Consider the following 13474-nt stretch of genomic DNA (forward strand, 5'->3'; position numbering starts at 1 on the left):
CCAGCCTGGCCAACTTGGTGAAACCCTGTCTCTACTAAAAATACAAAAATTAGCCGGGCATGGTGGCAGGCACCTGTAGTCCCAGCTACTCAGGAGGCTGAGGCAGAAGAATCACTTGAACCTAGGAGGCGGAGGTTGCAGTGAGCCAAGATCGCACCATTACACTGCAGCCTGAGCAATAAGAGAGAAAACTCTGTCTCAAAAAAAAAAAAAAAAAAAAAAGGCTGGTCATGGTGGTGCACGCCTGTGGTCCCAGCTACTCAGGAGGCTGAGGTGGGAGGATCGCTTGAGCCAACACACCTGGCTAATTTTTGTATTTTTAGTAGAGATGGGGTTTCACCATGTTGGTCAGGTTGGTCTCGAACTCCCGACCTCAGGTGATCCACCCACCTCGACCTCCCAAAGTGCTGGGATTACGGGCGTGAGCCACCATGCCTGGCCTACACCCAGCTAATTTTTTGAATTTTTTGTAGAGACAGGGTTCACCATGTTGGCCAGGCTGGTCTTGAATTCCTGAACTCAAGTGATCCACCTGCCTCGGCTGCCCAAAGTGCTGGGATTGCAAAACTAATCTTTTACATAATCAAGATGTTTATATCAGGTTGGGCGTGGTAGTTCACGCCTGTAATCCCAACACTTTGGGAGGCTAAGGCAGGTGGACCACCTGAGGTTAGGAGTTCAAGACCAGCCTGGACAACATGGTGAAACCCCATCTCTACTAAAAATACAAAAATTAGCCGGGCATGGTGGCGCATGCCTGTGGTTCCAGCTACTCAGGAAGCTGAGGCAGAGAACTGCTTGAACCTGGGAGGTGGAGGTTGTGGACAGCTGAGATCGTGCTACTTCACTCCATGCACTCCAGCCTGGGTGACAGAGTGAGACTCTGTCTCAAAAAAGAAAGTTCATATCAGCTCACGTGCTCTATCAAGAAGCACTGAAAAGCTGGCATATAAAAAAAAAAAACCCTAGGGACTGGGCGTGGTGGCTTACACCTGAATCCCAGCACTTTGGGAGGCAAGAGTATCATTTGAGCCTAAGAGTTCAAGACCAGTCTGGGGAAACACAGTGAGACTTAATTGCTACATTTTTTTTTTTTTTTTTTTTGAGACAGAGTCTCACTGTGTCGCCCAGGCTGGAGTGCAGTGGCGCAATCTCGGCTCACTGCAAGCTCCACCTCCCGGGTTTTACGCCATTCTCCTGCCTCAGCCTCCCGAATAGCTGGGACTACAGGTGTGCACCACCTACGCCCGGCTAATTTTATTTTTAGTAGAGATGGGATTTCACTGTGTTAGCCAGGATGGTCTCGATTTCCTGACCTTGTGGTCCGCCCACCATGGCCTCCCAAAGTGCTGGGATTACAGGCGTGAGCCGCCGCGCCCAGCCTCCTTTTTTTTTAATTAGCCGGGTGTGGTGGCACACATCCATAGTCCCAGCGACTAGAGAGGCTGAGGCAGGAGGATTGCTTGAGCCCAGGAGGTTGAAGCTGCAGTAAGCCATGACTGCACAATGCACTCCAGCCTGGGTGACAGAGCAAGACCCTGTCTCAAAAAGAGAAAAATGAAAAAAAAAAAGATTAAAAATGCTAGAATGATCTGGGGGATAGATTGGTTAACAGATTTCAGCCAATTCTGTTTTTAGTCTCACCATTTTCAAAAGTATTAACACCTGCAATTTCTTAAACTTCCCTAGCTTCTTTGGCATGAGTCAGACTTACTGTTACCTTAGATTTTAGCTTTTTGAGGTCTGCTAAGTCATTAACCACCCATCCATCTGTGTTGAACATTCCAAAATATTACAATGCTATCACATCCTGTTCTTCAACCTTGTAGCTTTAAGCTATTTTATCCCTTTTCATTGTAATTTTAGTGTAATTTCAGGAAAGAACAAAGATTGATACGGATGCATGTATGGTTTATTCATACTACTTAAGCAGAAGTCCATGATACTTTTAGACTATAAAATAGCATTTCTCATTAGCCAGGCATGACAGTGCACATCTGTAATTGCAGCTACTCAGGAAGCTGAGATGGAAGGATCCCTTTAGCCCAGGAGTTTGAGGCTACGACTGCCATTGCGCTCAAGCCTGGATGACAGAGCGAGACCCTGTCTCAAAACAATCAAAGCAAAAAAAAAAAAAAGTTTCTCCTCTGTGAGTCTACAGAAACCTAGAGTTCCGTAAGATGTCACTAAGGGCTTCATGAGATATTGTAACTGAAAAAAATTAGCATTTTTGAACTTCATACAGAACATGATATTAGCATTTAGAGTGACAGACAATGGCCAAGCAGCCCTGTTAGCAATGTCAACAGTGGTCTCTCAGCCCTGAATGGCTGTGTGCAGGACCACGTTCCTTTGATAAAGTTCATTCTCAATCAGGAGTTGGTAGATGGTGAGAGTATTGCAGGGAGGAGAGGATGGTGGGCTGATGGCATTAGCTTCTCCCTCCAGAAACATCTTCCCCAACACCTCTTTATATGCTAATGACTGATTTATAGCAACAAACAAGCTCTAGCTCTGAAATAGGAATCTTGGAATTTTTCATTCTACTGAGAGAATATTTATACCTCATGAGCTGACTCCCTGGCTCTGCTATTGTTAACACTTAAAAATACACATTGGGTAGGTTAAAAGTGAACTGTACTGTGTATTTTTGCAATTTTTTTTTTGGGGGGGATGGAGTCTCACTCTGTCGCCCAGGCTGGAGTGCACTGGCATGATCTCGGCTCACTGCAACCTCCGCCTCCCGGGTTCAAGCGATTCTCCTGCCTCAGCCTCCCGAGTAGCTGGGATTACAGGCATGCGCCACCACACCCAGCTATTTTTGTATTTAGTAGAGATGGGGTTTCACCACGTTGACCAGGCTGGTCTCAAACTCCTGACCTCAAGTGATCTCCCCACCTCAGCCTCCCAAAGTGCTGAAATTATAGGTGTGAACCACCGTGTCCGGCCAATTTTTTATTTTTTGAGATGGAGTCTTACTGTGTCGTGCCCAGGCTAGAGTACAGTGGCGCCATCTTGGCTTATACAACCTCTGTCTCCCGGGTTCAAGCGATTCTCCTGCCTCAGCCTCTTGAGTAGCTGGGATTACAGGTGTGCACTACCACGCCCAGCTAACTTTTGTGTTTTTAGTAGAGACAGAGTTTCACCATGTCGGCCAGGCTGGTCTCAAACCACTGACCTCAAATAATCCACCCACCTCGGCCTCCCAAAGTGCTGAGATTACAGGTGTGGGCCACTGTGCCCAGCCTGCAATTCTTGCTTAGTTATTAATTATGTCTTCCTGCTTTATATTGTATTAGTGTTTATGTCTTAACAAACATGTCTGACAGTTTTTGAAGATGAGGTGTAAGATAAAGAGGAGAACTCTAGACTTATACCCACATTCAAAAGAAATGAAGGCCGGGCCCGGTGGCTCACGTCCATAATCCCAGCACTTTGGGAGGCCGAGGCAGGCATATCACTTGAGGTCAAGAGTTCCAGACCAGCCTGGCCAACATGGTAAAACCCTGTCTCTACTAAAAATAAAAAAATTAGCTGGGCATGGTGGCGGGCGCCTATAATCCCAGCTACTTGGGAGGCTGAGGCAGGAGAATTGCTTGAATCAGGAAGGCAGAGGTTGCAGTGAGCCAAGATGGCACCACTACACTCCAGCCTGGGATACAGAGTGAGACCCTGTCTCAAAAAAAAAAAAAAAGAAATGAAAACATGTCCACACAAACTTTTGTCCATGAATGTTCACAGGAGATTTATTCATAAGAACCAAAAACGTAAACAATCTGCTATGGTCTGAATGTTTGTGTTCCCCTAAAATTCATATGTTGAAACTGAATCCCCAATGTGGTAATATTAGGAGGTGGGGTCTTTGAGAAGCGATTAGGTCATGAGAGCTCTATCTTCATAAATGGGTTTAGTGCCCCTACAAAAGAGGCCCAAGACATGGTGGCCCACGGCTGTAATCCCAGCACTTTGGGAGGCCAAGGCAGGTGGATCGCTTGAGCTCAGGAGTTTGAGGTCAGCCTGGGCAACATGGCAAAACCCCATCTTTACTAAAAGTGCAGAAAACTAGCCTGGGAGGTGGAGGTTGCAGTGAGCCAAGATGGTACCACTGCACTCCAGCCTGCGTGACAGAATGAGACCTTGTCTCAAAAGTAAACAGGCTGAGCGTGGGTGGCTCACGCCTGTGATCCCAGCACTTTGGGAAGCCAAGGCAAGCGGATCACTTGAGGTCAGGAGTTGGAGACCAGCCTGGTAAACATGGCGAAACCTCATCTCTACAAGAAATACACAAAAATTAGCCGGGTGTGATGGCGTGCCTGTAATACAGCTATAAACTTGTGTTTATACTTAAGATTTATAACTCTAAATCTTCAGTGCAACCAAAGAATTTGATGTCAAGACAAGAGATAAAACTTTGTGAGCTACACAATCTAAGCACAGATTCAAGGTATAAGTGATTGTAATTTACTGTTCCATTCCTAGGTAAGTTCTAGATTTGCATAAAGAAAATCCTGCCATTCATAGAAATATAATGCACATTATGCTGCTGACTTTTTTCTTCTTTTTTTTTTTTTAAGAGATGGGGTCTCACTCTGCCACCCAGGCTAAAGTGCAGTGATATGATCATAGCTCACTGTAGCCTTGAACTTCCGGGCTCAAGGGATCCTCCTGCCTCAGCCTACTGTAGCTGGGACTACAGGCGCAAACAATCACGCCTGGCTCTAGCTTTGTCTTATTTAACAAACATCAAAGGCAAAAACAGAAACGGTCTCATCTTAGTTGAAAATGAAATCTGTCTGTGCTTAGCTCAAGTTCATATCAGAACTAAGTATCTGTAGAGCAAAAAACAATGACAAGTTAAACATTAAAGAAGTAAATTTCAGCCGGGAGCAGTGGCTCACGCCTATAATCCCAGCACTTTGGGAGGCCAAGGCGGGCAGATCATGGGGTCAGGAATTCGAGACCAGCCTGGCCAACATGGTGAAATCCCGTCTCTACTAAAAATACAAAACTTAGCCAGGCGTGGTGGCACACGCCTATAATCCCAGCTACTCGGGAGGCTGAGGTGGAGAATAGCTTGAACCCACGAGGTGGAGGTTGTAGTGAGCCGAGATCCTGCCAGGGCACTCCAGCCTGGGACAGAGCAAGACTCCATCTCAAAACAAACAAACAAACAAAATATATATATAGAAGTAAATTTCATTCCATATTTTTAGTTTTGAAAGTAGCATTTTTTTATATACACATATGCCTATAAAAAGATTTTTAAAAGCAAGTGTATTGGCCTTTTCTAACTGCAAGGCCTATATTTAGCTAAATCATGTTTCTCAGTTTTGCATAAAATTGTGTCTTAGGCCACATTTTTATTCACATTGCTTAGGCTTATCATTTAGTAGCTTTATTTTTAGTTGTTTTACTAATCAACATTGTCAGTAAATTTTCATTTTTTTACATTAAAATCAACTTTTAAACTTTTACATTTATTAAAATCAATTTACAACCTATATTTAAATATACCAAGTCTGAACATAACCTAATAAAAATTAAAACCCATTTTGTCTTAAGCCAGTTATTTAACAGAAATTTATTGTTTCCCTCTATTCATCGTGTGTGTGTGTGTGTGTGTGTGTGTGTGTGTATATTTTTTTAAAGACAGGGTCGCACTCTGTCCTCTGTCACCCAGGCTGGAGCACTGAAGTGCAGTGGTGTGATCAAGCGATCGTCCCACCTCAACCTCTCTAGTAGCTGGGACTACAGGCATGTGCCACCACGCCCAGCTAATTTTTGTATTTTTTGTAGAGATGGGGTTTGGCCACATTGCCAAGGTTGGTCTCGAAGTTCTGGGCTCAAGCAATCTGCCAGCCTTGGCCTCAAGTGCTGGGATTACAGGTGTGAGCTACTGCACCTGGCAAAATTTTGAGAAGATTAATTTCAAGAAAGCTTCGCTATATTTTTTTAAGGAAGTTTAACTGAACATAATTTTCGTTTTAAAGTAGAAAAAACACAACCCGATCAACATGACAAGACCCTGTCTCTACAAAAAATAAATAAATAAAAGGATTGTCTGGGCACTGTGCAGTTTGCCTGTGCTCCCAGCTACTTGTGAGGCTGAGATGGAAGGATCCCTTGAGCCCAGGAGTTTAAGGCTGCAGTGAGCTATGATCATACCACTTCACTCCAACCTGGGCAACTGAGCAAGACTCTGTCTCAAAAAAAAGAAAAAGAGGCTGGGTGCAGTGGCTCATGCCTGTAATCCCAGCACTTTGGGAGGCCGAGGCAGGTGGATCACGAGGTCAGGAGTTCGAGACCAGCCTGGCCAATATGGTGAAACCTCGTCTCTACTAAAAAATGCAAAAAATTAGCCGGGCATGGTGGCGCATGCCTGTAGTCCCAGCTACTCAGGGAGGCTGAGGCAGGAGAATCACTGGAACCTGGGAGGCAGAGGTTGCAGTCAACTGAGAATGCGCCACTGCACTCCAGCTTGGGCGACAGGGCGAGACTCTGTCATAGAAAAGGGGAAGGGAAGGAAGGGGAGGGGAGGGAAGGGGAGGGAAGGCAATGGGAGGGGAGGGGAGGGGAGGGAAAGGAGGGGAAGGGAAGAGAAGGGAGAGAAGGGAAGAAAAGGGAAGAGAAGTGAGGAAAGGAAAGAAAAGGAAAGAAAAGGAAAAAACACTACTGATCTGGTTAGGTTTTATGTCCCCACCCAAATCTCATCTTGAATTGTAATCCCCATAATCCCCACATGTCAAGGGAGAGACCAGATGGAGGTCACTGAATCATGGAGGTGGTTTCTCATGATAGTGAGTGAGTTCTCATGAAAACTGATGGTTTTAGAAGGGGCTCTTCCCCCTTCACTTGACATTTCTCCTTCCTGCCACCTTGTGGAGGAGCTGCCTTGCTTTCCCTTCACCTTCTGTCATGATTGTAAGTTTCCTGAGGCCTCCCCAGCCTTGCAGAACTGTGAGTAAATTAAACCTTTTTCCTTTATAAATCATTCCATCTCTGGCAGTTCTTTATAGCAGTATGAAAATGGACTAACTACCCTATACATATCATGTAATATAAAATATACCTAATTAGCATCTTGTATAATGGAAATCTATTATAAGACTTTTAGGAACTTTAAATAAGGTTAAAAAACCTCAAGTAGGAAACTTAACAAAAGATAAAAATGGAAGGTTTTATCTACCTTACTGACTGCCATTAGAACTGACACCTGTGTGGGGAAGGGAACCACACAGAGTAGCTAATGACCTGGCCAAATTAACAGACTGTTACAGGCTGAACTGTGTCCCCGCTAAATTCATCTGTTGTAGTCCTGACCTCAAGTACCTCGAAATTTAACTGTATTTGGAGACAGGACTTTTAAAGAGGCAAGAAGATAAAATGAAGAGATCAAAGTGGCCCCTAATCCAATATGACTAGTGTCCTTACAAGAGGGGGAGGTTTGTCCACAGACAGGCATGGAGGGAAGAAAAGAAAACCATCTACAAGTCAAAGAGAGAGAGAGTCTTCAGAATAAACCAAGCCTGCTGACACCTTCATCTCAGACTTCTGGCCTCCATCACTGTGAGAAAATAAATTACTGTTGTTTAAGCCACCCAGTCTGTGGCACTTTGTTACGGCAGCCTCAGCAAAATAATGCACAGATCCACAGTGAAACGGCTCTACTGGAAAGCACTGATAATTACTATTGAAGGATTCTATCTACGACATACTGATCATACTAATGTCAGCAGTTATGGGGGCAGTAATTTGTTTTTTGTTTTTTTTTTTTTTTGAGATGAAGTTTCACTCTTGTTGCCCAGGCTGGAGTGCAGTGGCACAATCTCGGCTCACTGCAACCTCCGCCTCCCAGGTTCAAGCGATTCTCCTGCCTCAGCCTCCCGAGTAGCAGGGATTACAGGTGCCCACCACCATGCCCAGCTAATTTTTTGTTTTTTTAGTAGAGACAGGGTTTCACCATGTTGGCCAGGCTGGTCTCAAACTCCTGACCTCAGGTGATCCACCCACCTCGGCCTCCCAAAGTGTTGAGATTACAAGAGTGAGCCACAGTGCCCGGCCAGGTGCAGTAAGTTTTATGTGAGGGTTCTCTGAAACCTAAAAAAAAAAAAATCTCTGTAAGGGTTCCTCTAGGTAAAAGGACTGAGAAAGGCTGTTACAGTGCTTGCCCTCTCCCTTTGATGGCATCCACTGGAAGTTACCTTCTCTTCTTCCTAGATCCAGCTTCGTTGGCCATTTTACTTACTAATCTGTGTTTACTAAGTGCCTTCTATGAACACTAGGCTGGACACTGGGGATATAATGGTGAACAACAGACAAGTTCCCGCCTTCAGGAATTTTAGTCCAACAAGATAGAGATAAAAACTACTACTACATTATGTTTGTTTGTTTTTTTTTGAGACAGTCTCGCTCTGTCGCCCAGGCTGGAGTGCAGTGGCACACTCTTGGCTCACTGCAACCTCCGCCTCCGGGTTTCAAGGGATTCTCCTGCCTCCCAAGAAGCTGGGACTATAGGCGTGTGCCACCATGCCTGGCTAATTTTTGTATTTTTAGTAGAGATGGGGTTTTGACGTGCTGGCCAGGCTGGTCTCCAACTCCTGGCTTCAAGTGATCCACCCGCCTTGGCCTCCTAAAGGGCTGGGATTAGAGGCAAGAGCCACCGTGCCCGACCTGTATCATGTTTTGATAAATACAACGACAGTATTAGAGCACAGGGACACTAACACCCTTTGAGATTCACGGAAGGGATGAGAGGCAAAGAATAAATAGATGTTAGCCAAGCTCCTAGGGATTGTTCTAGACAACGAAGGAGCATGTACAAAAGCCACGGTAAATGTACTGTGCTGTGACTCTGTGCTCCAGGGTGGTAGTCCTCATCCTTGAGGAGGTAAAACTAAGTTATGATTTGAGATGGGCTGGGAGACAAGGATGGCACCAACCGAGTGACTCGTATGAGAGAGACAAGCATTCTCAAGAGGCCATAGACCATTTAGGGCTATAATACTCGTGTAAAAATTTTATTCCCTTACAATGGGAAGGCAGATGAGGAATTAGAATTGATAACAAGTAACAGAGAACAAAAGTGCTAAGAGGCTAGAGAAGAAAAAAAACAAGGGAATGAATGATCAGGCTCTAACACTGCTCCCCTTAAAAACGTTAATTACAATTACTTAACTGCCTGCTTCCTGTAGCTGTCATTAGGCTAACAATTGAGGGCCTGTCCTTTTACTTCTAATTTAGTAATAGTCCAATGTTTATCAAAGTCAAGTTTCTCTCCATGTATCCTTAAAATTCTTTACTCTGAATTCTAAGTAAAAAGCACAAGACCTTGCAAAAAAATTGTAATTTATATACCCACAAGGGACTTGTATCTAGAATACATAAAGAACTTTTACAATTCAGTAACAAAAAGACAAATAACCCATTTTTAAAATGGGCAATGGGGTGGGGTGCAGTGGTTCACACCTGTAATCCCAGCACTTTGGGAGGCCCAGGCAGGTGGATCACTTGAGCCCAGGAGTTTGAGACCACCCTGGGCAACATGGCAAAACCCTGTTTCTACAAAAATTAGCCGGGCATGGTGGTGCATGCCTGTAGTCCCAGCTACACGAGAGGCTGAGGTGGGAGCACTGCTTGAGCCCAGAAGATAGAGGTTGCAGTGAGCCAGGATTGTGCCACTGTTCTCCAGCCTGGGCAACAGAGAAAGACACTGTCTCAAAAATAAATAAATAAATAAATAGGCAAAGGAACTGAATAGACATTTCTCCAGAGAAGATATAAAAATGGCCAATATACACATGAAAAGATTTTCACCATCATTAGTCATTAGGGAAATGCAAATCACAATCACAATAAGACATATCTTCACAACTACTAGGATGGCTAAACTCAAGCAGACAGTATCAAGTGTTGATGAGAATGTGCAGAAATTCTCCACATCGTATACTTCGTATACTGCTGCAGGGAATGTAAAATGAAGCAATTGCATTAGAAAACAGTCTGGTGGTTCTTGAAAAGGTTAAACACGAATTACCATATGACCCAGAGATTCCTAGGTTTATACTACTAAGAGATATGAAAATATATGTCCACACAAAAACTTGTACATTGTCAGGTGCGGTGGCTCATGCCTGTAATCCAAGCACTTTGGGAGGCCATGGTGGGTGGATTGCCTGAGCTCAGGAGTTCAAGACCAGCCTGGGCAACATGGTGAAACCCCGATTCTACTAAAAATACAAAAAATTAGCCAGGCGTGGTGGTGCGCGCCTATAGCCCCAGCTACTGGGAGGCGGAGGCACAAGAATCGTTTGAACCCAGGAGGCGGAGGTTGCAGTGAACCAAGAGCATGCCACTGCACTCCAGCCTGTGGGAGAGACCAAGACTCCATGTCAGAAAACAAAAAACAAAAACAAAAACAGTTTGTACATGAAAGTTCATAGGAGCATTATTCATAATAGCCAAAAAAAAAAAAAAGAGAGACAGCCCAAACATCTATCACTCTGGCCTGGGAGACAGAGTGAGATACTGTCTCAAAAAAAAAAAAAAAAGTATACAAAAAAGCATTTTGTAAAACTCAGTCCTGTGCAATATAATTACATTTATTTTAATTACTCAGTTCTTTATTACCACAGATAACTAAGAACTACAAGCAATATTTTCCATTTGATAAATACTAAATTATATGTACTTAGTTACTTTTTTTCCCCATCTTTATCAGAAAAAAAGCAAATCCAGCACAAGCTTAGCTAAAAGATGGTGATTTGATTTTATCAATGTAACAATCTTTACAGGACCTAATACATACCATTTCCCCTCCACACTTCAGCTAAATGGCAGCTGCCTTCTCCAGGTTCCTTGCAAAATTCTACAACATCTCGACAGGTTGTTTCCGGTGTTATAGGAACTTCTGTTAAAATCTGTTCATTGTTGCTCAAGAAAACAGTTAATATCATCTGTAAGACAAAAGAGTAAAGCTGTAATTTAGATTCCTTATCACAAACAGATTAATCTGTAAATTTAAAGTGATCCCTCTACCCACCCCCCGCCCCCAAAATGCCTACAGAATTATTTTCTGGAAATAATAATAGATAAGCTGATTCTAAAGTTCATGTAGAAAGATGAAAAAGACAAGTCAGGAAAATTCCAAATGAGGAGAGTAATAGAAAAGAAAGAGCACTATCTTATAAAGTGCTCAAAACAACATGACAGCAGTAGATATATATATAGATCAATGGGGCAAAGTCATACCCCAGAAATAGACCCAATTACCTATGAAAAAAATGGCAAATGATGAGGGAGGTATCTCAAAAATCAAGGAGGGAAAACGACTATACAATGAGTGATGTTTGAGCAAAATATATCCATGTGGAAAAAATGGTTTCATACCATATATCGTACACTAGCAGAAGTTCCTAATAGATCAAATATTTAGATACAAACCCTAAAGCCATAAAAAGTCCAGAATAAAACCTGGGTATATTCCCTTTTATAGCTTTGGAATAAAGGTGCTGTTTCAAACTATGACTCAAAAATCAGACACTATTTTTAAAAAGACTGATATTCAAGTACATTAAATATAATAATCTCTTTTTTTTTTTTTTTTTGAGATGGAGTCTTGCTCTGTCGCCCAGGCTGGAGTGCAGTGGCGCGATCTCGGCTCACTGCAAGCTCTGCCTCCCGGGTTCATGCCATTCTCTTGCCTCAGCCTCCAGAGTAGCTGGGACTACAGGCGCCCGCCACCACGCCCGGCTAATTTTTTATATTTTTTAGTAGATACGGGGTTTCACCGTGTTAGCCAGGATGGTCTCGATCTCCCGACCTCGTGATCCACCCGTCTCGGCCTCCCAAAGTGCTGGGATTACAGGTGTGAGCCACCACACCCGGCCAAGAATCTCTTATAATCCAGAAAAACAAGGTAGGGGAAAACATTTGCAACTCATATTACAAATACAAAGCTAATCCCCTCAATACATAAAGCGCTCCTAAAAAATGATAACAGAAAGACCAAAAATCCAATTCCTTTAAAGAAATTAGCCAGGAAAGTGTATTAATATATCACAGTAAAAGAAAAATAAATGACCCTTAAACATAAAAATACATTATAGTGTATTTGAAAAAATAAAAATCGTCTAGCCTTACTTTATTTTATTTTTTTGAGACAGGGTCTCACTCCGTCACCCAGGCTGGAGTGCAGTGGCGTGATCTCAGCTCACTGCAACTTCTGCCTCCTAGACTCCAGAGATCCTCCCAAGTAGCTGGGACTACAGGCATGTGCCACCACGTCCAGTTAATTTTTGTATTTTCTGTAGAGACAGGGTATTGCCATGCTGCCCAGGCTGGTCTCAAACTCCTGAGTTCAAGCAATCCTCTCGCCTTGGCCTCCCAAAGTGCTGGGATTACAAATGTGAGCCACTACACCTGGTGTTTTTTTGTTTGTTTGTTTGTTTTTCTTGAGACAGAGTCCCACTCTGTCGCCCAGGCTGGAATGCAATGTCGCGATCTTGGTTCACTGCAACCTCTGCCTCCCCAGTTCAAGCAATTTTCCTGCCTTGGCCTTCTGAGTAGCTGGGATTACAGGCGCATATCACCACGCCCAGCTAATTTTATTTTATTTTATTTATTTATTTTTTTGAGATGGAGTCTCGCTCTGTCACGCAGGCTGGAGTGCAGTGGCGCAATCTCGGCTCTCTGCAAGCTCTGCCTCTTGGGTTCACGCCATTCTCCTGCCTCAGCCTCCCGAGTAGCTGGGACTACAGGCGCACGTCACTACGCCCGGCTAATTTTTTGTATTTTCAGTAGAGACGGGGTTTCACCGTGTTAGCCAGGCTGGTCTTGAACTCCTGACCTCATGATCCGCCCGCCTTGGCCTCCCAAAATGCTGGGATTACAGGCGTCAGCCATTGCGCCCAGCCTTATTTTGTATTTTTAGTAGACACAGGGTTTCGCCACATTGACCAGGCTGATCTGGAACTCCTGACCTCAAGTAATCCGCCTGCCTTGGCCTCCCAAAGTGCTGGGATTATAGGCGTGAGCCACTGTGCCGGGTTTTTTGTTTTTTTTTTTTTTAATTTCAAAAAAATACTAACACTTTGATCTAGCATCTTAAGACATCATATTGGAAGGAAATTTTTTTTTCCCCTTTTCCTCAGTGGAACAATGAAAGAGATACTTTAAAAACAATACACCTAAAGTAAAAATTAGGCTAGGCATGGTGGCTCACATCTATAATCCCAGATTTGGGAGGCCAAGGTGGGTGGATCACCTGAGGTCAGGAGTTCAAGACCAGCCTGGCCAACTTGGTGAAACCCCAACTCTGATACAAAAGAAATACAAAAATTAGCCAGGCGCGGTGGCACGCACCTGCAGTCCCAGCTACTCAGGAGGCTGAGGCAGGAGGATCACTTGAACCCGGGAGGCATGAGGTTGCAGTGAGCCAAGATCGCACCACTGCACTCCAGCCTGGGTGACAGAGCAA

The 13474-nt window shown here is 43.9% G+C and overlaps 1 protein-coding gene and 1 non-coding gene across 13 annotated transcripts in view, besides 2 other annotated features; both read right to left on the reverse strand.

Moving 5' to 3' along the window:
- PPP1R13B (protein phosphatase 1 regulatory subunit 13B) overlaps positions 1-13474 on the reverse strand; it is a 115620-nt gene that overhangs the window by 53372 nt on the left and 48774 nt on the right. For all 12 annotated transcript variants that reach the window (XR_007063997.1, XR_001750206.3, XR_001750205.3 and 9 more), the window contains exon 2: positions 10805-10952. Coding sequence is in view for 8 of the 12 variants with exons in the window: in XM_005267487.6 (XP_005267544.1) it covers positions 10805-10952 (148 nt within the window). In the remaining 4 variants the exon portion in view is untranslated. The remainder of the gene's footprint in view (positions 1-10804; positions 10953-13474) is intronic.
- Positions 8082-8583: an enhancer, noted in NCBI's record as "H3K27ac hESC enhancer chr14:104260985-104261486 (GRCh37/hg19 assembly coordinates)". NCBI's record gives its function as "activates a minimal SCP1, AML or CMV promoter by ChIP-STARR-seq in primed H9 embryonic stem cells {active_cell/tissue: H9 hESC(primed)}" and the evidence as "EXISTENCE:reporter gene assay evidence [ECO:0000049][PMID:30033119]".
- Positions 8584-9083: an enhancer, noted in NCBI's record as "H3K27ac hESC enhancer chr14:104261487-104261986 (GRCh37/hg19 assembly coordinates)". NCBI's record gives its function as "activates a minimal SCP1, AML or CMV promoter by ChIP-STARR-seq in primed H9 embryonic stem cells {active_cell/tissue: H9 hESC(primed)}" and the evidence as "EXISTENCE:reporter gene assay evidence [ECO:0000049][PMID:30033119]".
- On the reverse strand, positions 10706-10782 carry LOC124900347 (small nucleolar RNA SNORD51). The gene has a single exon (XR_007064401.1). It is a non-coding gene; the product is annotated as a small nucleolar RNA SNORD51 (small nucleolar RNA).

Source organism: Homo sapiens, chromosome 14, assembly GCF_000001405.40.
Source record: "Homo sapiens chromosome 14, GRCh38.p14 Primary Assembly".
In the NCBI taxonomy this organism is placed as follows: Eukaryota; Metazoa; Chordata; class Mammalia; order Primates; family Hominidae; genus Homo; species Homo sapiens.